This window comes from Homo sapiens, chromosome 18 (assembly GCF_000001405.40).
Source record: "Homo sapiens chromosome 18, GRCh38.p14 Primary Assembly".
NCBI lineage: Eukaryota > Metazoa > Chordata > Mammalia > Primates > Hominidae > Homo > Homo sapiens.
In genome coordinates, this window is record NC_000018.10 from 58,234,556 (window position 1) to 58,260,256 (window position 25,701).

Consider the following 25,701-nt stretch of genomic DNA (forward strand, 5'->3'; position numbering starts at 1 on the left):
AACTCCTGAGCTCAAGGGATCCTCCTATCTCAGCCTCCCAAAGGGGCGAGATTACAGGCATGAGCCACTGTGCCTGGTGACCTCATTTGAACTTGATTACCTCTGTGAAAACCCTGTTTCCAGAGAAGGTCACATTCTGAAATACTGGGGGAACATAGTTCCCCATCTTATAAGATAGAGAATGGATCAAGACGAGCAGCTCCATTCTTTGTTTGTGTTTAGGCCAGTGCCAAGTTCAAGATCTTGCCTCAGGGCTTTCCTGGTACCCCTGGGAATGTGTATCAGCAGCAGCTGTGTCACTGAATGGGTGTCACCTGGGGGGCTGCCTGTTCAGACATTAGAAGCTGCCACATCCCCTGTTAACTCCATGTGAGGGAGGAATCCCTTCCCTCCGACAATTTCGCCTGTGAGAATCAAGTCAGATTTTGCAGTGAGAACTGAGCTGAGTGTAGAATAAGTTCCCGAGGTACTTCTGGCACCGTTGTTACTCCCCCACCGAGAAGCCCAGAATGTTCCCAGGTGTGTTCAAAGATTGTACGGGAAGGGCTTAGGACGGTGCTTGGCTCATATAAACACTCAGTGGCAAAGAGGTTGATGCTTAAGTACACAGGAAGTGTTTACCAGTACACATAATTGTATACCAGTGAGCTCCACCATTCAATTTACTGTCTGTCCGGTACATTGACCCTGTGAGGCCCACTCTCGGTGTGGCACTGCTAACAGGTTTTATTGTTGCTTACTCACTTGAAAAGTGTCTCCCTTGGCTAGACCTTTGTCCTGAGCACTGGACACACATAGGTGCTCAGCAGCGTCCCTCTCTGCAATGCAAAAGGGATACCGTGTGCCTCTGCATGTCAGCTCTAGTCCTGGCATCCCAGGAGCATACGGTGACAGTGGAAGTGAAGTGCAAGCCGAGTCCTGGGAACCAATGTCTGCCAGAATTAATTAAAAGTAAGCATCTTTTTTTCCCTGGTTAGTTAATCCAGGATGAATTCCCTGAGTAGTTCCTGCCGTTAGAACTTGCTCTCTTTTTTAGTTAGACACAGCTCGGTGTTGCCTCCACTTTGACATCACGTTCATAGTTCCTGTGCTTGGCCAGAACTGTTTTCAGTTGCAAGGACATGGGTGAGACTGGTCAAGGAATTGACTTTCAGGGTTCCAAGGGAATAATTAGTTCAGAAGTCTGTCCCCATACTTGTTTTCCAGTACAATCTGTGTCTCTGTGGGTGTTTTCTTTTAAGGCTGTGTGCTTTATAAACTGGAGATAGAAGGAGCCAGTTTATTATAAAAAGGATAAAATATAATTAAACAATTAAAAGTATGTCTTTATAGCCGGGTGTGGTGGCTCACATCTGTAGTCCCAGCTACTTGGGAGGCTGAGGCAGGAGAATCGCTTGAACCTGGGAGGCGGAGGCTGCAGTGAACTGAGATTGTGCCACTGCACTCCAGCCTGGGCGAGAGAGTGAGACTCCATCTCAAAAATAAATAAAAATTAAAATAAAAATAAACATAGGTCTTTGGCCAAGTGTAGTGGCTCCCGCCTGTAATCCCAGCAGTTTGGGAGGCAGAGGCAGGAAGATCGCCTGAAGCTAGGAGTTTGAGACCAACCTGGGCAACATAGTAACCTCGTCTCTACAAAAAATTTTTAAAAATTAGCCAGGCATGGTGGTGTGTGTCTGTAGTCCCAGCTACTCAGGAGGCTGAGGTGGGAGGATCGCTTGAGCCCAGGAGGTCGAGGCTGCAGTAAGCCATGATCTTGCCACTGCACTCCAGCCTGGGTGACAGAGCGAGACCCTGTCTCAAAAAAAAAAGAAAAAAAAATTTATGAAGTACTGGTTGGGTTAACGTTTCTTCTTCTAACCATGAGGGAAGTAGGTGGGCTGTTCTGGTGACTCAGTGTCCTCCCAGACTCACTCATGAGAGGAAGTATTCACGGACTGTGGTGATCTTGTCTTGGAATTTTTTTCTTTGCCTCCTGGCCTCACAGCCGTTCCTTTTCTTTTACACATCCATGAAAGGGAGACTCTAAGATCTTCCTTGCCAAGGTTGTTGTAGGGATGAGCGATGATGTCTCTGAGGCACCAGGCACGGTGCTGGCACCCAGAAGCTGCTTAATGATCCTGGAAGTTATGACCATTGCTCATAGTTTTTCCTACGTTTCAGATCATCCTTAAATAATTGTCATTGGCTGGGCGCTGCGGCTCACGCCTGTAATCCCAGCACTTTGGGAGGCCAAGGTGGTTGGATCACCTGAGGTAGGGAGTTCAAGACTAGCCCGACCAACATGGAGAAACCCCATCTCTACTAAAAATACAATATTAGCCCGGCATGGTGGCGCATGACTGTAATCCCAGCTACTCGGGAGGCTGAGGCAGGAGAATAGCTTGAACCTGGGAGGCAGAGGCTGCGGTGAGCCAAGATCATGCCATTGCACTCCAACCTGGACACCAATAGCGAAACTCCATCTCAAATAATAATAATAATAATAATAATAACAACAATAATTGTCATTTATCAGCTTCTTCGAGCTCTTAATATATATATCGCCACCTTTCACAAAGGCAAAATCTGCATTAGAAACACTGTTGTCTGATTTTGGTTCCTCTGGAGGAGGGGTAGACAGTCTTTTTGTGGGCAGGGTCTGTGTCTGTTTACCTCTATTCCCCGCCCCCCACTTTGGTGCCCACCACAGTCCCTTGTGTATGGTGGATGCTCCTTGACTATCTGAGGAATAAAATCAATTGTGAAACAGTTTCCAAAAAGGGAACAGTTTTTGTTTCCCCGTTTCCTTATAGCCTTGTGAGTTGCTATCTCTCTTGGCTCTATTATTAATAACATAAAAGAAAGAGCTGTTTTCTTAACCTCTGGTAGTTGCACATATATGGGGAAAAGGCATAAGAAAATATGCTGGCAATAAAGACAAGTCACAGATTGTCATTTTCTTTGGTGACTGAAGGGATATTTCAGTAATTTATAGGTGAAATCTTCCTTTTTGTGACTTCCACTGAACAACATTTTTACTACCAAAAGATAAGGGAACAAAATTTTTTAACAAACTATTTAAGCTTAAATATTTAAACATTTTTATTAGTCACCACATATTAATAAAATATTTTTATTAGCACATATTTTATTAGTCAACACATGTGTACACAGCTCTGATGATCTCTATGTAGATGCCTATATAAATAGCTATATAGATATCATCAGAGCTGTGTATATATGTGTTAGAGATAGATGCACATACAGTTGCCCCCTGTCTCCCAGGGGTCTCTGTGACCCAAGGTTGGGACCCTCAAGTGACTAGTTATGGATGGCAAGGGGGGCTGCAAGGCCAGAGTTGGTCCTGGCTAGAGATTTCAAGACTCGAGTGGCTGGGAAGGTTTTAGAATGCAGGTAAACCACTAGTTGCTCCAAACAACAAAACCATCATAATGGAAGCATCCAAAAGTGTGTTCTTCGGCAGCTTCAGAGACTATGCCTAAGCAATAAAGTTTTAATGTCTTTTTTAGCTGCTTAGGTGAAGAATGCATTTGACTGTAATCTAACCCATTAATCTCTTATTTTTGCTGGAAAATTGTACATATTTAAGAGTAGTGGCTCATTGCCAGTATTGGTGATGAGTGATATATTTTAAACTATGCTTCATACCTTTCAGTAAATCTTGGGCTGAAAGATATGTACGTTTTGTTTTCAAAATTTTTCAGTAGTCATCTATTTAGGTCAATTTTCTGGGCAAACAAAATATTTGAAGCCCTTTAGGGTTTGTTATTGAGATGTAGGCTGGCCATGAAATTACAGGGTTCAGTACCTCATTGAAGTGTATATGTAACTGTTATTAGTTTTTTGATAACTTTTTTATACTCATAAAAGTAGTACTTGCTTACAGTAGAAACTTAATAAAAACCATAAATGGAAAAATAAACCATTCGTAAACATCATATAGAGAGAATGACTATTAACATTTTAGCCTAACATGATTTTAGGGGTTTATAATATTCTAGTATATGATTGTACCATAATTTATTTAATTGCTTCCCAATTATTGGACTGGAAGTTTGCTTCTAATTTTTTCTTATTATATATGATGCTGTAATGAGTACCTTTTACCAGTAAATATTTACCTGCCTCTCTGATTACTTCTTTGGGATTAATCCTTAGAAATAAATTTGATGAATCAAAGGGCATCAACCCTTTGAATGCTTCTGATACTTCTGCCATGTTGTTTCCCAGAAAAGATATAATAATTATTCCTTCCAGTAGTAGAGTATTAAATGTCTGCCTCTCTTTAGAAAGTATTACCTTTTTTCAATCTTTGACAATTTGTTAGATAAAAACTTCAGTTTCAATATTATTGCATGTATTCATGGATATTTTTCTTCTCACACATTCTAGATTTTTTCTATATTGTTTATAAATGTTTTATAAGTGTTATTACTTTATTGAGGATAGAAATTATTATGTAACACTTGATGGTAACAGTAAAAGTGGAAAAGAATGAGGAAACCTTCAACAAAACAAGTTGTCATTAACAAAACGGGTTTTGCAATGCAACTTTCTGTGGGTTAGCTAAATCTTTAGTGTGTCAGGTAGTCGAAAGAAATTTGCTGTATAGTGCTGTGAAATATGCTGCATCCATGAGCCCTCTGCTCTTTGCCCATAGGGAGCAAAGACACAATCTTTTTGCAAGCTGTCCCAGTGCCATATTGACCATCTTCCTTTTACAGCAAAAAGTTATTGCTTCCTTTGGTTAAGGTTGGGACACCCCTCTGGAGGCACACTTGAAAAATGAAGACCTTTCTCGTTGTTCTTCTGTTATCCAAGTATCTTGGAAGAACACCTCTATAGCAGGTAGACAAGGCAGGGTGTCATTGCAATCTGGCTGCAGACTGAATGTAATCCCCCTTGACATTTTGCCCCTTGGAGGCAACTCCTGCCCTCCCCTCTCCCCTTACGACCCTGCCCCCTTAAAATATGTGGAGCTCAGCAAAGACTATTTATTCTGATAAAAATGAGCAAATAATAGGTGTGAAAGAACATGGAACACTTCAGTGAATCAAATGGAGAGGATTAAGCATTACCCCAATAATGATTGGTCAGGACGACTGTCCCTGTGGAGTGTGTCCCAGAAGGGTTGAGCAATGGAGCAAACCCAGAAAATCTCATTCTCAACTCTCCCTGACAGATGACCTCGTCTGCGCTGTCTTTTGCTTCATGGTGATGAAGGTGGAACAAGACCCTTGAATAAGATTTCCATCTCTGAATTCTTTAAACCCATTTGAGATCAGTGCAGGCCTGCAGTCTCTCTATTAGAACTGGAGCAGAGGCCCAGAAGAGAGAACTGAATTTTCAGCACTGGATTCTATGTTGAGAATGAAAGAGACAATAATTGAAAAGCTTTTCTCTTGGAAATTTTGCAAAATCCGAGTGGATTTTTGACCAGGATTTCTTGGTGACCTCTCCTGAGAGAGCAGGTGCCTGAGGATTTCCTGCTGAGTATCTTGGCATCTGTCAGACTCCTTATGACTTCATTTTAGTTCAGGGAGTCTGTTTCCTAGCCATTGATTTCATGCACAATTCCTGGCATGTCTCATATCTCTAAGGTGATGTCACCCTTGTATTTTTTTTTCAGATGTAATCTTTTATGTGACAGTGAGGTGTCTTACTTGTGAGTGAACAGCTAGAACCTCCCAAGTGGTTTTTCTTTTGGATTTTGTTTACTCAGTGAAAAATACTGAGGAACCTGAGATCCTTCAGGGTGCATTTTGGTGTCTGCCCAACCTTGACGTGGATTTGGAGGCCAGGCTCAATGCTCGAACTTCTTGTTGGAGTGGCACTAAATCATTAGGATCCCTGAGGACAGACAGTTCAGGCCATCATTATTTGGTAGGCCCTTGCACACTTACACACAAATGCATCATTATGAACATGGAGCAGAAGATTCTAGGGCCCCGTGTGTAATGGCACAATTTGTCAAGAGGCCTGAGACCTGGAGTTGGCATGGATTCCCTCTCCTCCTGACCCACCTACCTGCTACATTCAGTTGGCCACCCTGTTCTTTTGAGTCCACCTTTGGATGAGTAGTCAGTCCTTTCTGATTTTTGCCACCTCTGCATTCAGAGCTTTCTTATTCTTTGGCGCGGAGGCCTTCCGTTGGGTCCCACTGCCTGCTGTCTTATCTCCTTCTAATGAATATGATCATGATTTTTCTGTATTTAGACAACTCCACGATGAGGAGGATGATGGCGGCAGCTAACATTTATGTATGTATGTATGTATTTAGAGACAGATTCTCTGTCACCCAGGTGCAGTGGTGCAATCTTGGCTCACTGCAACCTCCCCCTCCTGGATTCAAGTGATTCTCATGCCTCAGCTCCCCGAGTAGCTGGGACTACAGATGCACACCACCACACCCAGCTAATTTTTGTATTTTTAGTAGAGACGAGATTTTACCATGTTGTCCAGGCTGGTCCGGAATTCCTGACCTCAAGTGATCTGCCCACCCCGGCCTTCCAAAGTGCTGAGATTACAGGCGCCTGCCTCCACACCCAGCCAGCAGCTAACATTTATTAAGTGCTCACTATACTCCTGCCAAGCACTATTATAATTTGTCTTCTAACAGGCTTTTTATAAGGGAAGTGCTACTATTATACCCATTACATAGATGGTAAAACTGAGGCACAGAGAGGCTATGTAAGTTTCCCAAAGTCATGTACTAATTGATGAAGACCCAGGGTTTGAGCTCTGCAGGAATGGCCGACTCCTTGTGGTTTGAGCCTGGGCTCCCTCTCCATCTGTCTTTTCTCCCTGAGCCCTCCTGACTGCAGCCATGCCAGACTTTTTAATGTTCTGAACCCCAGCTCCAGCCTATCACTGGAGCTCTGCCTGTGATCTTTCCACCTCATGCCTCCCGGTTCTATGTGTGCCTTCAGACTCCATCTGGCAGTGGTATCTGGATGGACCAGTGCATAGAAATCACATGAGACACTCAATAAATGTAGACTCCTAGTGATTCTGACTAGCAGGTCTGGGGTGGGGCCAGGTACCCAGATTTGCACGGGAAGTCAGGGACCACTGCTGCTGACTGCTTTTTTCCTGGGTGCTTGGCACACTCTGTCACAATCATGTTTTCATTTCTCTATGTTCCATTTCAACTGGATAGGGACAGTGTCTTTTGTTTCTGGAACCTGTCTCTTTTCTTGGCATATAGTAGGCACTCAGGAAATAGAAGGTTGCTTGAATCCTAGTACCAGTTTACTATCTCCTTGGAAAGACTGAAAGGTAGAATGTGATGTCTAAGCAGCTTCACTAAGCAGAGAAAACAAAAAGTTTGCAAAATAGAATTTGCCTTTTAATCTACATGTTCTTGCGTAGCATTGAGCTTCCTAGAGAGTCATATTCATGCTAGCCCTGAGTTGTATCAGCAGCAGCCACTAGAACGGTAACTTGATGCCAAGAGTGAATTCTGATGAGCTTCATTGTGAGTAAGAGTCCCAGTTTGATCATCTCTACCCAGATCCCGTGGGACCTCCACACTGTATGAATAATGAGGAGGCGTGGAATACGTAGCATGCTGCAGTTGGCCAGCACCCAGTGTGTACTGTGAGGTAATCAGTGTCAAATCAGTCATTGTAGCAGGAGTTGGGAGTCAAAAGGAGCAACAGAGAACCTCACACGTCTCCTAAGAGAGGAAGCAAAGAACAGTTACCTTGGCTGTCATTTATGGGGCATTTGTATTGTATGTTTGGAATGGTGCTGGGTACTAGTATTAATACATGATTTTCTCTGGTCTTTGCAAAAACTGCCTGAGTTAGGAATTGTCATTCCCATTTCATTCATGAGCAGGCTGAAGTTAAGAGTGGTTAAGTACCAGCTGAAAGGGAGGAGGAGCCTGAGAGCAATCTGGGCACCCGTTCTCCCCCTCTTCTTATTTATGAATGAATGAATGAGACAGGGTCTCACTCTGTCCGGGTCTCACTCTGTCGCCCATCCTGGAGTGCAGTGGCACAATCTCGGTTCGCTGCAGCCTCCACCTCCCAGGCTCAAGCAGTCCTCCCACCTCAACCTCTGTGGTGGCTGTGACTACAGGTGCATGCCACCACACGCAGCTACATTTTTTTTGTATTTTTTTGTAGAGATGGGGTTTCGCCATGTTGCCCAGGCTGGTCTTGAACCCCCGGGCTCAAGCGATCTGCCTGCCTCAGCCTCCCAAATGGTTGGGACTACAGGCGTGAGCCACTGCGCCTAACCCTCTCCTCCCCTCGAGCTTACATCCTACTGTCCTGTAGCCAGCTCCAAGATGTTGGCCTTTGGTTCTCTCTTCAGGCTGAACTCTCTTTCAGGGAGTTTCCTAATCGATCTTCCATAGAGTTGATCATACCTTAGTACCTACCTGGATGAGCACTCAAGATGTTACATATTCCCACCTGACTTCTTTATTACTGCTGGAAGATATGGTGTCCCACACCTAAGTATCCCACCCACAGTCCCCAGCTGCATGTGTCGATTATTGTGAGCTATTCAAGGGATACAGACTGAGGTAAATGAACCACCAGTGGAAGAATGTGGATGTTCTATTACAGGAAATGCTTAGCTCTTTATTGCAGTTATATAATAGCCGGCAATCATGATAGCTGAGGGGCATAAAAATGAGAGCAACAGAGTTTATGGTATTCTTTATAACTGTGGATTCTGTATGTGCGTGTGTGTGCACGTGTGTTCTGCATGCATCTCCACGGCACATTATCTGGAGGTAACATGATCATCAGGCCTTGAGCTCTTTTATAAGCAATAGATTGTGGCTGGAAATTGAAAATTTAGTTTCTGTAGCTAGAAAATACTCTTTTCAAATGCCATCTAGAACAGTAGTTCTCTGAGTGTGGTTCCTGGATCAGGAGCCTTGGTATCACTGGGAATGTGTTAGGAATGCAGATTCTTGGGTTCTACCCCGGATTGAATTCAGATTTGGGAGCGGGGCCCAGTTATCTGTGTTTTAATCACCCCCTCCCCCAGGTGAATCTGATATGCTAAAGCCTGAGCCTCACTCCCCTGGAAAGTGACGCCTGATTCATCTGCCAGCCCATGGGCACCCATTAGGAAGGTGCTTATGGGAGCTTTGACCTGGGCTAGGTGCCGGCTCTTGATCCATCTTTTTCTAAGGCTGAGGGTGTCCATAGAAGGAGAAGTAGGTGCATCCGCTTAGATGTTATTTAACCAAATAAAGGTTTACAGCTTACAGAAAAGAGGCAAGATTAACTAATACCTTCCAAACCATAATGTAAAAAAAAAATAAAAAATATTTACTCATAATGGAGTATAACTGAACAAATCATGTTGCTAATTTTTTTAGGATATGTTTTGTAGCTTCCATTCAGATACATCTTATGGGTAATAAATACACACGTGAACACACATATGTGTACTAACAATATTTTTCAGACTTTTGATTTTTTAGATATTGAGTATAGCCTTGTTACTACCAAACTTTTATCATACTTCCTTGTGAAAGGATTTCATGGCATATTTATTATTTGAAATATCAAATAGAAATCAGTACAGTCTCAGCATTTTAAGATACTTGATGTAATCTTTGGAAATATCTTAGACATTGCAAAATAAGGGTTAATAGTCATAGTATAGCCACTAACGGGCAGTTCTGAAATTACATAAAGTTAATCTGATGAACTGATAGCAATCAGTTTTTGGCTATACATAACTAGATAAGTGAGAATTTAGAGATTGAATACATGAGAGCCCTTTTTATGATTTTCAGGATCTCAAGTATGAAGCAAAATAAATTCTTCTATACCCTAAATTCTTGCAAAGTGATATTTTGATTAGATTTGAGCTACCCCAGGGCTAGCAATACTTGAAAGTGTGACTAGACTTAACCTCTTAGTAGATAGTCCGCAGTAATCCTTTGAAATATACATCTTGCTAAAAGTTCCTTTCCCAAGGAAATAATGATTAAAGATAATGTGATGTGTACAAGGAATTCTGGGACTTGTAGTCGAGAAACCTGAACTTTAATCTAGACTACTCAAATTTATAACTTTAGGCAAATCTCTCTTGACTTTCTAGGCTTTAGTTTTCTAGGGTTTTGTTTTGATTTGTTTTTTTATGTTTTTGTTTTTGTCTTTTTTTTGGGGGGAGGGTGTTGAGACAGAGTCTTGCTCTGTAGCCCAGGCTGGAGTGCAGTAGTGTGATCTTGGCTCACCGCAACCTCTGTCTCTCAGGTTCAAGCGATTCTTCTGCCTCAGCCTCCTGAGTAGCTGGGATTACAGGCACCTGCCACCATGCCCAGCTGATTTTTGTATTTTTAGTAGAGACAGGGTTTCACCAGGTTGGCCAGGCTGGTCTTGAACTCCTGACCTCAGGTGATCCACCTGCCTCTGCCTCTGAAAGTGCTGGGATTACAGGTGTGAGCCACCTCGCCCAGCCTTGATTTGGTTTTTAATCTGTAAAATGGTAGGTGTTGGGTCACATGAACAATGGCTCTTTTACCTCCACTAATTACCTAGACGCTAGAAATAAGAATATGGATAAGACCTAAACCAAATTTTCTAGCTAAATTTTGTAAAGTCTGAACAAAATCTGTGTGCGTTTTAATCTTTCTTGTAATCTTTTCAGACTCTGTCTTTAAAATTATATATATTTTTAGCTTCTAAGTAAACATTATTGGCACTGGTTTTGATAGGAACTTTACTCCAAGTGTATTGACTTAGTAGATATGTTAAAAAGGTTATTGCTTAGTTTGTGGAAATAATACAAGCTGAGACTTTAACTGATATTTGTATTTTCATTTAGGTTCCACTGTTTTCTCTTTTGAATGAAAAGTATAATCCTATTAAATCTAAAATATTTTCTTACAGTGATCCGTATGTGAAACTTTCATTGTACGTAGCGGATGAGAATAGAGAACTTGCTTTGGTCCAGACAAAAACAATTAAAAAGGTAGGTGTCGATCTTTAACCAAATGTCATTTAAGTCATAATTTAATCCAATTATGCACAGTCATGTGCTGCTTAACACCTTTTTGGTCAAGGATGGACTACTTACACAGTGATAGTCCCGTGAGATTATAATGGAGCTGCCATATACAAGTGCATCACTTTTTCTCTTTTTTTTTTTTTTTTTTTTTTTTGAGATGGAGTCTCACTCTGTCGCCCAGGCTGGAGTGCAATGGCATGTTCTCAGCTCACTGCACCCTCCGCCTCCTGGGTTCAAGTGATTCTCCTGCCTCAGCCTCCTGAATAGCAGGGATTACAGGCACCTGTCACCATGCCTGGCTATTTTTTTTTTTTTTTTTTTTTTTGTATTTTTAGTAGAGACAGGGTTTCACCATGTTGGCCAGACTGGCCTTGAACTCCTGACCTCAGGTGATCCACCTGTCGTGGACTCCCAAAGTGCTGGGATTACAGGTGTGAGCCACCGTGCCCAGCCCACTTTTTGTCTTATATACTGTATTTTCATTTTAAGTGTCTTTCAGTATTAAATCTAGAAGTTTTCCAAGACTTTTCAGTACTAACCCAAGATAGTGATTCAGGTTTTTACTTAAATGCCTACAAAAACAGTATCCTGAAAATGTCATAAGTTGTAACATTTTTTCTTGCACAGAATACAGCAAAAACAAGGATTTGTTTTTGTCTTTGTATGTTTCACAAAGAAACTTAAAGTAATTTAAAATACATTTAATGAAATGGAGCTGTTTGTGGAATTGGTAGGCACACCAGGAATAGTTTAACTTGAAACAACTATTTCTAAAGGAAGCAAAATACTTGGTTAGCTACATGGAAATAGAGAAAATATATTAATAATAAAGCTATACATGTATGTATATATCTTATTTTCCTAATTTTTATGTACATGATTTCATTAAAAATTTGTTTCCATAAGTATGTCTTTTAGTTATTTATTTATTTAGTTTGAGATGGAGTGTCACTCTGTCCACCCAAGCTGGAGTGCAGTGGCATAATCTCAGCTCACCGCAACCTTTGCCTCCTGGGTTCAAGTGATTCTCCTGCCTCAGCTTCCTGAGTAGCTGAGATTACAAGTGTGCACCACTATGCCCAGCTAATTATTGTATTTTTAGTAGACGTGGGATTTTGCCATGTTGACCAGGCTGGTCTGGAACTGCTGACCTCAGGTGATCCACCCGCCTTAGCCTCCCAAAGTGCTGGGAATACAGATGTGAGCCACTGTGCCTAGCCAATAAGTATGTCTTAATTTGCCTATCTCCATGTATTTATAGACATATGTAATATATATATATGTAAATATTTTTTACCCTATGTTTGGAGGCTTTATTGAAGATGCATGTTCTCTATTAAAAATACTTGGCTGCATGTGGTGGCTCATGGCTGTAATTCTAGCACTTTGGAGGCCGAGGCTGGCAGATCAATTGAGCCCGGGAGATTGAGGTTGCAGTGAGCCATAATGATGCCACTGCACTCCAGCCTGGGTGACAGAATGAGAACCTGTCTCAAAAAAAACCCAAAAAACAAAACAAACCCCTTTCATCTGTGCTTTAGTATCATTTATGGGTTACTATGATTTTTTTCCTTACCTCCTTTAGAGGCGGGTGCTTAGATAGTCTAACACTTTGCTGAACATTTTCTGGACAGCATGAGTGCTTTAAAAAATTGTAACTGTCTTGCTGCCATGCAGGCACCCAGGATGCAGCCAGGTCCTTTTGTGTAAGGAACCGTAACTGCAGCGTGTCCTCCACTTGGCATTGGGACTGGCATTAAAAATCTGTTTTGCAAACAGGAGCCAGTCTTTTGATTAGCAGGGAGGATGCCTGCGAGGGACGGAGGCCATTGTTCCCTGTGTTAGGCGTTGTTGCTGGTTCAGTTTCTAGGCGAGTGGGGGCTGTCTAGAAGGCTCACCAGGAAGGCAGCTGGGAAACTTGGTTGCCTGCTGGATGTGGAGCCAGGACCAAAGCCGGCGACTGGGGCTATTGCAATGGATTTCCTTCCAAAGGGAGGTCCTCCTTCTCCCTCCCTTTCCACGGTCGAGGGAGTAGCTCTGTAGCTGGGTTTGCCCTCCTTCTCCTGCTGCCCGCCTCCTGGTTCGTATGCCTCTGCTGCGTTCGGGTGCGAGAACTGCCGTCATCCTCCTCTCCTTGCCGTGTTGTGACTGGTTCTTCGTTCGTTTTGTGCTCTCCTGTCTTGTTGCTTTCCTCGCCTGTCATTTCCCATGTGCATTTCCGTGAAGCTGCCCTCCGGGACTGCAGCCAGAGGCAGGCCAGGCCTGCTGCTCCACTCCCCTCCCCTCGTTCATTACCATCCTTGGCTTCATTCACATGGGAGAAAAGTATGAACCCCATTATTTAGGATTGAATTCACTGTGGAGTTGTGGGTGGGGAAAGTGCTGAATTTTTGAAAACGCCGGTTCAGTGTTGTGTGAGCTCTGTGTTTCCTATTTTTATGTTGCACTCTGTTGATTTTTTTCATCTCCCTGAACTGATCTATTAAAGGAAATAGATTGATAAATATCATTTTGACTAAAAATATCTATCGCTGTTGGTGAAGTGATGGTTTTTTTTTACATACAATTTTTAAGAGCTGTCTTTAAGAGGCTTATGCATGTGCAGATGCATGAACACACATGTACAGTCTTCCTTCCTAGAACATGCTTCCTCTTAGTTTTGGGGGATATCTGGCAGTCCTTTCTTCCATGCTGAGGACAAAGGTATCCTTGCCATCTCCTTGTGAGATGTACATTTAAGTAGACTGATAGAAAGATGAACAGATGGATGAATGGAGAGGAAGACTGAAGGATAAGTAGACAAGTATTTTTTAACCTGGTTATTTTTGGAGAAAAAAATAATTCACTTTTGGCTTACATTTGGTCTTTTTTTTTCTTGTTATAAAATCTGATCCTCAGTATAGCTCTCTATAAAATGTTAAGATTTCAATATTTATATAAACAATGAACACATTCAACTTTCCCCCACCTGCTTCGTTACTCTGCAAAACAGATTTGTAGCAGGGAGAGGGAAGTCAACAAAGTTCATTTCCTTCTTGGTAGAATAATCATATCAATGCTAATTTCTTGAAGAAATTTTTTATATTTTCACGATGACTCTTTCCAGGCCTTTGATGTTTTTCCTTCTGGTGATAGAAGCAGTTTAAGGTTTCATACCTATGAAGCATCTGTTTCATAAATACATTCCCTCCCCCTCCAGTTTGGTTTGTACGCTAGTCTCAAATAATCGACTAAATGCTTCTCTTAGCTTTTTTTAATCAAAAAAATGTTTAAGCAAATATGTAGACTGTATTGTACTAGTAACTGCTAATGTTTGAAAGACTAAAAGATACTACAAGATAATTTCTCTTCCAGACACTGAACCCAAAATGGAATGAAGAATTTTATTTCAGGGTAAGTTTTTCATTGTTTGGTAATAATTGTTATTGATACGTCTAGGTCGATTATCACAGTCAATTCATCTTGAGGAAAAGCTCTTAAATTTTTAATGAGAAATTCCTTTTAGGATGAAAAATAGGTAGCCTCCTAATGTGTCCCAAATTTTGAAAGACTAGAAGTAGTGGTCACAGAATCCGGACTTGTTTCATTGGGGAGTGTTTTGGAGAAGTCAAAAGAAAATTATCCAAACACCATGTTTCATCTTTTGAATTCAAACCTTTCTTTAAGAAATAAGATAAAATATCATTTATGAGAATGGTTTAATTCTATGAGACGGGTTATGAAATATTTTAGAGAGAGTAAAACAGTAGAGGCAACATGATTAAAAAGAAACATAAAAATTACCAGTTATATTCTAGTTAGGGAGGAAAATTTTGGTAACTGAAACACTTGAGTGCATATATATGTGTATAATATAAAATTACTTCTGGAATCTAAATACAACAGAATTAGGTAAGATTTCCTCAACCTTTTATATTTAATATTTAGAATAGCTATATGTCGAAATGACTGAAATATGTGAATTAGCAGAGATTTCTGCTTATTGAGCATTTGTGGTTGTTGCTGTGTTTTACTACTGACATTTTGGAACTATTAGACTGCTTAGCTATTTAATTGAAAGAAAGGACTTTCTCTTCAAAACGAAGGTATCTTAATTGTATAGCTGTGATATTAAAAACTGCTTACCTCCAGAAATAATCCAGGTCTTCTGATTAGTGCAGATTTCCAAAGGCCAGTATTGCCATGAGGCCCATTATAATTGGTCCTGATTTCTTCCTCTCAATCGCAATAGTATTTTTTGTGCTCCAAACTTGGGCTACTACATACAGCATCTGCTTTCCATTATGCTCAGAGCTGAAATATGGCACTGATACTTTCATACTTGGTGAAATCCTATGTACAGCCTCCACCAGATGTATTTGAAATTACCCTGTGGAGGACTGAAAAGCTAATAGGAGCTGATAGATGCTGTTGGCCTTTAGTTAACTCTGAAATATAGCTTTCCACTTGTGAACCTCCAAAGTGTTTAGACTCCTTTCAGTGGAACACTGGCACAGTTACATAAATGTTAGTACATCCCATACTTTTTTCAGCTAATCTTGGCAGTAGGCACATTTAAGTTCTATTTTTGTTAGTTTTTCTGAAGGTTTTTTTTGTTTGTTTGTTTTGTTTTGTTTTGTTTTTTGAGATGGAGTCTCACTCTGTCACCAGGCTGGAGTGCAGTGGCACAATCTTAGCTCACTGCAACCTCTGCCTCCCAGGTTCAAGTGATTCTCCTGCCTCAACCTCCTGAGTAGCTGGGACTATAGGCCCGTACCACCACGCCTGGCTAATTTTTGTATTTTTAGTAGAGATGAGGTTTCACCATGTTGGCCAGGCTGGTCTCACTCTCCTGACCTCGTGATCTGCCCGCCTTGGCCTCCCAAAGTTCTGGGATTACAGGTTCTTAAGGTCTTTATATTTATTCATTTTACAAATCTTTATTGAGTGCCTATTATGTGCCAGCTCCTGCCTGTAGCCTGTGGTTGCATTGGTAAGCAGTGTGACCCTTCATAGAGCTTCTAAACAGATAGCAAACCCCATCTGCTTGTTCTGTCGCTAGGCTGCAGGCAGACCACGGACCAGAAGCACAAGCTGAGCTCTCTGTGCTTGTATGGTCAAGTGTTATTTCATGCATTCCCCACCATGAAGCAGCCAGGGCCTAGGTCACCTCTCTGCTTTACCATTTAGAGCCTTTGTGACCCTGGAAAGGCCACCTGAGGACTCTCAATCTCCCTGGGATCCTTATCTCTCACATAGGAGAGAGAATCCTTACCTGCAAGGGTTGTTTCAAGGATTTGCATGCGATGATGTAAATGAGAACATGTAGCTCTATGTCACACATGTGGTTGGTGCTTAGTAAATGATACCTGAGTTTGGAAGATGATATGGGCCATTTTGGTGAGGTTTTGGTAAGGAAAAGGAAGCAAAAAGATATGGAAAGCCCAGTAGCTCTGTCATTGCCTCACAGTTCCAGGTCTCTCTCATGGTTCACAGTCTAGGCTCTGGAGACAGGCAGCATAGACCTAGTGCAGGTCCTGGTTGCCCTACACATTAGCTGTGGGCTCTTGGGCAAGTTACTTCACTGAACCTCAGGGTCTCGGCTCCTCATTTATAAAATTGCGTGATAGTTATACATCATAGGATTGCTGTGAAGATTAAAGGAGATCATGGGTTGTTGATATTTAATAACAAGACAGTGCCTAAAAAGTAAGTGCACAGGCTGGGCACAGTGGCTCATGCCTGTAATCCCAGCACTTTGAGAGGCCAAGGCATGCAGATAGCTTGAGCCCAGGAGTTCAAAACCAGCCTGGGGAACATGGTGAAACCTCATCTCTACAAAAAAATACAAAAATTAGCCAGGCATGGTAGTCCAAGCTACTCAGGAGAGTGAGGCAGGAGGATCAATTGAGCCTGGGAGGTTGAGGCTGCAGTGAGCCATGATCATGCCACTGCAGTCCAGCCTGGGCAACAGAACAAGACCGTCTGTCTCTGTCTGTCTGTCTGTGTGTTTGTGTGTATGTGTGTGTGTGTGTCTCTCTCTACACACACACACACACAGATACATTCTTAAGCTATTACAATCTTCTTCATTATTTTTATCATTACTATTACTGCTATCAGGACTAAGAAATATCCTCAGGCATAGACATTTTTTGATCTACAGTCATGAGAATGCCTTGTACAGAGGTTAGGAACCCGTCAAAGCTATTTACAACTATCCTTTCTTATTTTAGAAAAACAGCTAAGAGCCTTCTCTTCTTTTGCTATGCCTAAATTTGGGGCAGAATAATATAGAAATCAGTAATAGGAAATTTGATTTAGTACACATAGAATTCCCAGAACAGCAGGATAATTGTTCATATTATACAATTGAGTTGGGCGCATTGTAAAGCAGTATGTTATTCTTTCTGTTCCTTACGTCGCTGTTCAAATGATTCCTGCTCGTTTAAAAAATACTATTTATGTTCCTTATAGGTAAACCCATCTAATCACAGACTCCTATTTGAAGTATTTGACGAAAATAGACTGGTAAGTGGATGCCTGTATTTGAATTTTGCTTCATTTTTTTATTAACTGGATTTTCAGAGCAGCGTCTTTAAAACTCTGTGTTTATGTTGTACTTAGGACAGTATATGTGCCCAAAAAGAAGACTGTTTTTGTCCCACTACGAGTTTGATGTTCAAAATCCTAACAAATAGTTTTATGTTGCTAGGATAAAAAATGTATTTGTATGTGTGTGTATTTTTATTGCAGTTAATGTTAACGAAAGCCACTGGTGATAGTACCAGCCCATATGCTCATGCTCTAATGTTGGGAATACAGAACGGTAGGCAGATCTCTAAAGAGGCCATCAGGAATGTAAACAAACTTTGCTCGGTTTTTAAATGAAAGCCAGACCATAGTACTGGGATGCATTCAGTAGCAAATCTATGGTAATTCTCTCAGGGAAAATAACAATCTAATTAACAACGTATAGCAAAAAGTGAATCTACATTTAGCAGGTAAAGTCAAGCCGTATTTTAAAAGTGGTTGCCTTCTTAAGAGAGAACCTTAGAAAGTACCTTTAAAGAAACAAAGATATGCCTGAGGCATATAACAGATACAAACTAACATTTTATATATAGATTGATGTATATATAATATGTTTATGAAGATCGACACATACATAACTGAAATAATTATGATTTCATTTTATTGTTTTTAATTTTTTTTAGAGAGAGGGTCTCCCTCTGTCACCCAGGTTGGAGTGCAGTGGTGCAGTCGTAGCTCACTGTAACCTCAAACCCTTGGGCTCAAGCAGGACTCCAGGATAGCTAGGACTACAGGCATGAGCCACCATGCCTGGCCAGATTTCATTTTAGAAATGGAATTTTTGAAGCACATTTTGCTTTCTTAACTATCTAAAACGTGTACATCAAGTAGCTGTGAACCAGGTGTTCCAACTATGAAAATGAACACTATCATGTTAAGTCCTTAAGGTACCTTCAGAAGTGACACTATAATTCAGTGCAGTCATTCTCAAATTTACCCTCTCTGAAACTTGTATGGTATGTTGACTGGTTAAAAGGTGTTCTTAAGAATCCTTTCTGCAGTATTCAATTGAAACTCCAGATTTTTAATAGCTGGACGTTAATAGAATATTTGAATTGGAGGAGCCTTATACAATAACTCATTTAACTCCTGTTGTTGTCGATGAGAAGAACCAGGTCTAGAGCCTTTACATAAACACATCAGTCAGTGGAGGTGCCAGGGTCTGACCTGCTGGCCTCCTAAGTCCCAGCCCAGTGATAGTTTGGGAATGTATTGAATCTCATATGATTAGTATTATTCTCCAAAAGAGAAAACTAACAGATTTTGGCCTACCATCCTAGTATCTTTTCCATTAAAGTATGGGATGTTGGGTGATGAACAGTCGTACAGTGTAACTAAACCACTTTTGTTGTATGCATCAAAGTACTTTCTTGTGAAATTGGATGAGAGATTCTGCTGAGGGTGCAGTTCTTGTCTCTCCATCTCTCATCCAGTGAGGACCAAGTGAGTTAAGCAGTATTGAGTAGTATAACAGTACGTTCCTGGAGACATGGGTGTGTCTGTAGACTAATCCTTATTCTCCAATTATTGAGTATAATATCTCTTGTTTAACATGAGGAAAGGGTCAAATTTGAGGAAAAATGGCCTCTTGTTTGATGTGTTTTAGTTCATTATTCTCTTCTATTAAGAGAAATTCACTGTTAAAAAATTGTTTCCCATTTCCGTATCTGAAATAATGACTGTAGTTGAGGTGATCTTGCCCTGGGTCTGAAATCATACTTCCAAACCAAAAAGGACTTTGAATACAAAACTTTTAAGAAATCTTGTATGAATACAAGCTATATCTGAAAAATTGTGTTTTATAATATTGATGCCTAGTTTTGCCCCAGGCCATCTGCAGTGTGGTTACTATGCAAAGAATGCTGGTGTTGCTGTTTTTTTTTTTTTCTTTGTTGGCTATTAACCCAGCGGAGACAATATGTGGCTATGGTAGTACTTGGAAGTTCTAGCATTACACAGACTAGCTTCCATTTCTCTCATAGAGGTCATTTTTGGCATTTAAAACACATACTTTTAGAAAACAGATTTGGATGTATGTAAACACAGGGTTAATCCACCACACTCTGGATGCTAGAGCTGTTGACAAAGTCATGCTTTGCAGATTTTAAAATAAACTTTTTGTTACTCTTACAGCTTGGTATTTTCCCCTCCTATTTTTTTTACCTCCTCTAAATAAACCTCTTTGTTAAATAATTGATGTTTCTGGATCATAGAAAATAGTAAGTTTAAAATACAGAATATTTCCAAGCTAACTACAAATCTGATGACAGTTTTTTGAGTGTGCACTTTTCCTTTTATTTCTTAGGTCCTTTTTGGTCCTTTGCAAACATAGTAAGATTCCATATTTGTGTCCCAACTGTGGTAATATTGCTGACTTCTTACTGGAAAACAGTCAGCTCTAGGTAGCATTTCTTCTGTGTGGTATTTAAGTTAAATTATTACCAAAAAAAAAAAAAAAAGCCCACATGCACTCCCTTCTTCAATTTTCCTTTTGTTTTTTGTTGTTTGTTTGTTTTTTGGTTGATGTTTTCTTTCCTACCTGACATATGGAAGACAATGTTTTCTCCAGCTGGGTTCATTTTCTCTTTGAAAAGGAGACACTTTGGTGTCTGCCAGTCATATGTGAGCTACACACACGTATACACCTTTTAAATGAAAAATGCTGTGATAGCAGGAGGGCTCTGCTTGGCTAACTGGTTGTGTAGCAAGTCGGGCCCCCTCCCCTCCACTTAGCTATTTTGTTACTTGTAGATCCTGCTCTAATTATTTAGCATTAAACGGACACTAACTCTGTAGGGTGTGTAATCGTATTTATAGTACTGTTTTATTAGTTTGCATTCCATCCTGGTAGTGTAGTGATGTCATAAATAACAGAAACATGGTATCCGATGCTTGGGAAGGGGTTTACCCGGTGGCCAAGCCATATTTTACTTGTCATTATTCCGTGTGGCGGAAGGTGGGAAAATACCGTGTGTGCTGTTAAACATGCCAGGTCCCTGCACTGGTTAGACAGAGTCTCAGTGCTGTGCTCCGTTGGGAAAGAAGTGCCCTGCGAATGTGATGTGGTTTAGATTTATAGCAGCGTGGCTTGCAGTGTGTTTGCTGCCTTAGTCAGCTGTGAGAGCGCCCTGCTGGGGCCACTCCTTTCTGATGGAAAAGCAGCAGCTGGGAAGGTGCTGTTTCAGGCTCTTGCTGTTTAAAAAAAAAAAAAAAGAGCGAGTAGGGGAAAACTCCTCTAAGTCCAGAAGCTGGCATTGGAGGGGGAGAGCGCGGTCATGTGGTTCTGGCCACCCTACCCTCTGTCACAGTGTGGATGAGAGCTTTTTGCTCTTATCCAATCATGCCTGGAATGCCGCTTGCCACTTGGGTTATTTCTGCTATCTGTCGCTCCCGGTGCCGCAGTGCTAACAGTTTGGCAGATGGGACACTTTTTCTTGGAATTTGTGTCTTTGGTTTGTGACTTCTGGCAGTGTCGGGCCTGTTGTTGCCGCTTGCCCTAGCCCTCCTGGCCCCCCTGGTCACCATGGCCCATCGGCTTCGGTTTCATTTTGGCTCTGGTCGCAGCAACACAGCCCCCGAATCAGACATCCTAGACCAGGAGAGAGAAGACGACTTCTTCATGGCATTCCACACCCTACCGCGGAGAAGCAGCCCGCACCCCTTCGCCCAGAACGGAGGGGAGGACGGCGGCGGAGGCCTGCAGGGAGGCGTGGGTGCGCTTAAGCGGAGCTCGTCCATGTTCATCCCGCAGCTCTTGACCAGCATCGACGCCCGCCCCACGTGCAGCTCCTCCGTGCAGATCTCCCTGCAGCGCAAGGCCACGGACGGGGCCACGGACGGGTGCGGGCCGCCCGAGGGCGCCGACGATGGGCCTCCATGCGCAACGCCCGACCCCAGGGACCAGGCCTCCGCCACTGCCACCACGAGGGCCTCGCCCCAGAGTGGCTCCCGGGAGCCCTCGCCGAGGGACACCCCCGGGAGCTCCCCTCCGAGGGCAGCCCGGGACCCAGGGCTCCAGGTCAACGGCACGTGCGGCCGCCGCGTGCGGTGCTCCGGCCCCGTGGACTGCGCGGAGGAGGCTGCCCCGGGCCTGCGCATCCAGCACCGCGCCTCCAGCGCCGACGTGCGCCAGGTGAGGCTGCTGCCCCTGGGCCCCGATGGCCAGGGCGGCCCGGCCGCGGCAGAGCCCAGGCGCTGGTCCCTGCAGCACGTTCCAGATGCTTCTGGAAGCTCTGGGAAGCGGTGTTTTGTCTTCCAGTTGCAGCAGCCCCAACAAGGCGCTTCGGGGCCAGGCAGCGACCTCAACTTTGGCTTCACGGGCACAAAGGGGGACAGGTTGGTGAGGTATCCTCGCATTCGGCTGGAGAGGAGCACCTCGTACCCCACGCAGCCCCGAAGCGAGCGAGGGAGCCCCACGGAAGATCGGGGAGCCCTGGAGGCATCGCCTCGAGCTGGCAGGATGGCTCCTGAAATCCGCAGGACGAACTCCGCGGAGAGGACTCCGCAGGGCCAGGGGTGCACATTTAAGATCAGGCAGGATCAGAACGCGGGGCAGCAGCATTTTAGAATTCTTGTAACCCGGGGGCCGGAAGAAGCTCCCCAGAATCCCGAGGAGAAAAGCGCCAAAAGCCCTGTTTCCACGGGAGCTGACACCACGGTAAGTTCACAGCGTGTTTACATGTGTTTACTGATTTCAACTTCGATGCTTACTCTGCGGCGTAACCAAAATAAAACCTCACCCTCTGTTCCGGGAGTTTCCCTGCTTCAGGCCAGTGGATCTGAATGTTTGGCCGAGTTCTGGCACGATGATTTGTGGTCCAGTGTTTGGTGCGCAAAACACCATTTCTGCAAATGTCTTCTGTAGGTCCTCAAAGTCAAAGAACTTTGTCTGTTTGGGAAATCCAAGCAGAATACCTTCCCCCTGCTTTTATTTTTCTGAATAGAAGAATTTCGAATAAAATTTGTTACTTTAATCTGCCAAAAAACAAGTCAGTGCCCCAACGTGCTGATGTTGGAATTGCATTTAAAAAGCTGCTTGCAAGTATAGCCTGTGACAATACTTTAAAAATAATCAGTTCTCGGAAAGGGGAGGATATTGCAAAGGACCTCAGTTTCGTCTCTTAATAGTTAAAATAGGTGAACGTAAAGTTTAGTGGAATTTGATTATCTGTCATGGCCTGTTTGCTGCAGGAGGTCAGGTCAGTCGTTGTTATATAATTTGCTTTGTTTTTTGTCCCATTAAGTAATACTGAACGAGAGTAGTGTCGCTTGTGGGATAGTGACATTACTATCCCACAAGTGACACTGCTAAGATACTAACAGATGCGTTTTTAAAGCACATTGGGTTATGGCCCAAGGCTAGGGGAAACTGATGGGGACTCGTTAATGGTCAGATGGCGTGGCGTGCAATTTAACACTGCACACTTGAGTGTCCAAGCCGAGGATGCTGTATATAGAATAGTAAGTACCCTGTCTCCAGCTGTGGAGAAATAGACGCCTTAGAACAGATTCTGGCCTTCCTGTTTCTCTGTTCCTGATCGCTCCCTTTCAGTGAAATGGAGTACAGAGAGACAGCTGCACGCTCCATCGACCAGGCATATGATGACTCTGCAGCTTTCGTGGTTTAGAGTGGAATGAAAAGTTTAATCAGTTTGGTTTCTTTTACTAGTAATCACTAGCCAGTGAGTGCTTTCTCCTAAAGAACAAGCTCCTTATATTTTGAATTGGATATTTTTTCTCCTGAATTTCATGTGACTGCCAGTTTGAGGATATGATTAGTAAATGTCTAGGGGACTTTTCTTTGGATTTCACTTATGAATTGTGATTTTGAAAAGTGAGCGTCTGAGTATTACTCTAGAATTGTATTGTCTTTTATTGCTTTGTGTTCAGAAATAAGTTTCGTCTTTCAAGTAAACTTTATCACTCCTCCATCATTGGTTTTCATCATTTTGAAGATACAATCAGATGCTTAATGAAAATTTATTTTTCTTCTTCTCTTTCCTTCCATGTATCTCCTTTCTTTCATTATCTCAAACTCTTCTATTGGGAAATGGCTAAGTGCTTTGTCTTGGTCTGAACCTATACCATGTATTACACAATGGTACAAATTTTGACAGTGTTTTGATATTATAGTAGCCTTTAACGCCCACCCCCAACAAATTACCATCATGACAGTTGTAGGCTTTGTTCGGCAACACAATTCCATGCTGAACTTGGACCACTTACCGCATGAAGATTGACAAAAATATATTTCCTAAAGTTTGATAACTATTCAATTATATTACCAAAAACTGAAATCACTTTGCAGTTCTGATGTGGAAGACAAAGGGATTCATACAATTAAACTCAAAAAAGTTCAAACTCATTTGGTTTGAACTTTCAAATGTAATTAGAAAACAAATCGAATAAACTAAAACTTATGTGTACCTTGCTTAAAAGGGCTATTCTAACTTGCAAGGCCTATGTAGTGAAAAACAAGTTTCTACACATTTGGAGAATATAAATTCTGGAATAAAGAGCTTTTCTTGGAGAGTAAGTTCCAACTAGTGAACAGTAGTTTGCATTTTCATATGTATGTATTTTTGTACACATACATAAATTAGTACGTGGTTAGTAAGCTGGTTTTCTTTTAAGCAAAACGATTTTTCTTTAAAAAACAAAACCAAAAGTGGTCACATAACAAAACCGCCTGCTCCATTCAGCAACTTTGTATGCATTTCATATGGACAGGGGTGTTAAGTTTAGGCAGCAGCTGCCACCGCCTTACTTATCTTGAAGGAAAACATTCACTTGGGCGTCTACAGTCTGGCTGCTACCAAGCTTTTTTGGCGTTTCAAATATCCACTGCTTTGGTCTAAAGGACATTACATTATTAAGTTTACATGAAAAATTAGCTAGAATCTGTTGCAGTTTGGTGGTGGAATGATACGGAAAGTCTTCCTAGATTTGGGAATACCGCTCGGGATTCATTTGACAACGTGCTCATATTTCATAAGCTATACTTTAGACCTTATTACAAGATTAAGTTGTTGAGTACTTTTATCTGTGCCTCCCAAACATCCTGCCATGACTAAATCTAAAATGTAACATGACTCCAAAAAATGTTAACCAACTAAATTATTAGAAAAAATACAGGGGAAACCCTTGTGATGATAAGTTTTCCACCTGGTTTATCACTGTCAGTAGACAAGAATTCATTCGTATAGTCATCAATTATAATCAGTTAAAAATTTTCAGAATTGTTAGAATTTACCAATTCAGTCTGTGGCAGTCATTAGTAGTCATTTAGTGAGTAATTTAGTTATTTTCTTATAAATTAGCTTTTGGGTTATTGGGTTCTGAGCCTCTTAACTGCATTAGAGTTATTCTGAGGAAGTTGGACCACCATTTACCAGCATTTGTGCCCCCTTTGTATGCCATTTTGTGCATAATAACTGTGAAACTCTGCATTTTACAAGCTTGAGGAGCCAGTTTTCTAATCTCATTGGTGTTATGAAGTACTCAAGGTCTACTGTGTATATAACATTACACCCGTTACTTGGAAAGTTTCAGGGACTATCTCAGTGTCTTGCTGACACAGTTTGTAATGTAAACGGAGGGAGGAGGGCCCACCCGGACAAAAGCAGTAATTCTAACACCTACTGCATATGCTATTGGAGAAGAGAGCGTTCTTTCAGCTCAAGCTCTCTGGACTTTCCTCTGTGTCCTCTCAGTGGACATGTACTTCACAGGAGTAGTGTAGTAATCTCTTGTGATTAAAAATTACTTTTATTGAACAACAAAGGAATATCCAAATTCTTTTCATTTGGGGAAACTTTGAGTCTCTTTTACAGAAGATGTTTTTAATATACGGCCATTTTTTGACATTAATATTAGTCGATGTCTGTTTTTTACCCTAAAAATAACTCGAGTATCCAATGTATTAACCACCCCTTTATTTTAAAACATAACAACACAGGAGGCGAAGGTGGGAGGATTGCTTGAGCCCAGTAGTTTGAGATTACTGTTTCTACCACTGCTCTACAGCCTGGGCAGCAGAACGAGACTTTGTCTCAAAAAAATAAAAATAAAACTTAATATTGTAATGGAGAAGAAAAACAAGTAGCATTCTTTTCATTGACCTGGTTTCTGACTGGATTC

The 25,701-nt window shown here is 41.9% G+C and overlaps 1 protein-coding gene across 50 annotated transcripts in view, besides 1 other annotated feature; it reads left to right on the plus strand.

The window, feature by feature from the left end:
- The window catches only part of NEDD4L (NEDD4 like E3 ubiquitin protein ligase), a 357,315-nt gene that overhangs the window by 190,330 nt on the left and 141,284 nt on the right, over positions 1 to 25,701 (plus strand). For 42 of the 50 annotated variants that reach the window (XM_006722426.5, XM_047437406.1, XM_047437407.1 and 39 more), the window contains 3 exons: positions 10,872 to 10,953; positions 14,344 to 14,382; positions 17,446 to 17,499. In XM_006722426.5, coding sequence (XP_006722489.1) covers positions 10,872 to 10,953; positions 14,344 to 14,382; positions 17,446 to 17,499 — 175 coding nt within the window. Of the gene's footprint in view, positions 1 to 10,871; positions 10,954 to 14,343; positions 14,383 to 17,445; positions 17,500 to 20,960; positions 22,220 to 25,701 lie in introns of those variants that run through there. The other 8 variants (XM_005266658.5, XM_006722421.5, XM_005266663.5 and 5 more) reach the window with 1 other exon arrangement.
- Positions 13,001 to 13,506: an enhancer, noted in NCBI's record as "H3K27ac-H3K4me1 hESC enhancer chr18:55914788-55915293 (GRCh37/hg19 assembly coordinates)". NCBI's record gives its function as "activates a minimal SCP1, AML or CMV promoter by ChIP-STARR-seq in primed H9 embryonic stem cells {active_cell/tissue: H9 hESC(primed)}" and the evidence as "EXISTENCE:reporter gene assay evidence [ECO:0000049][PMID:30033119]".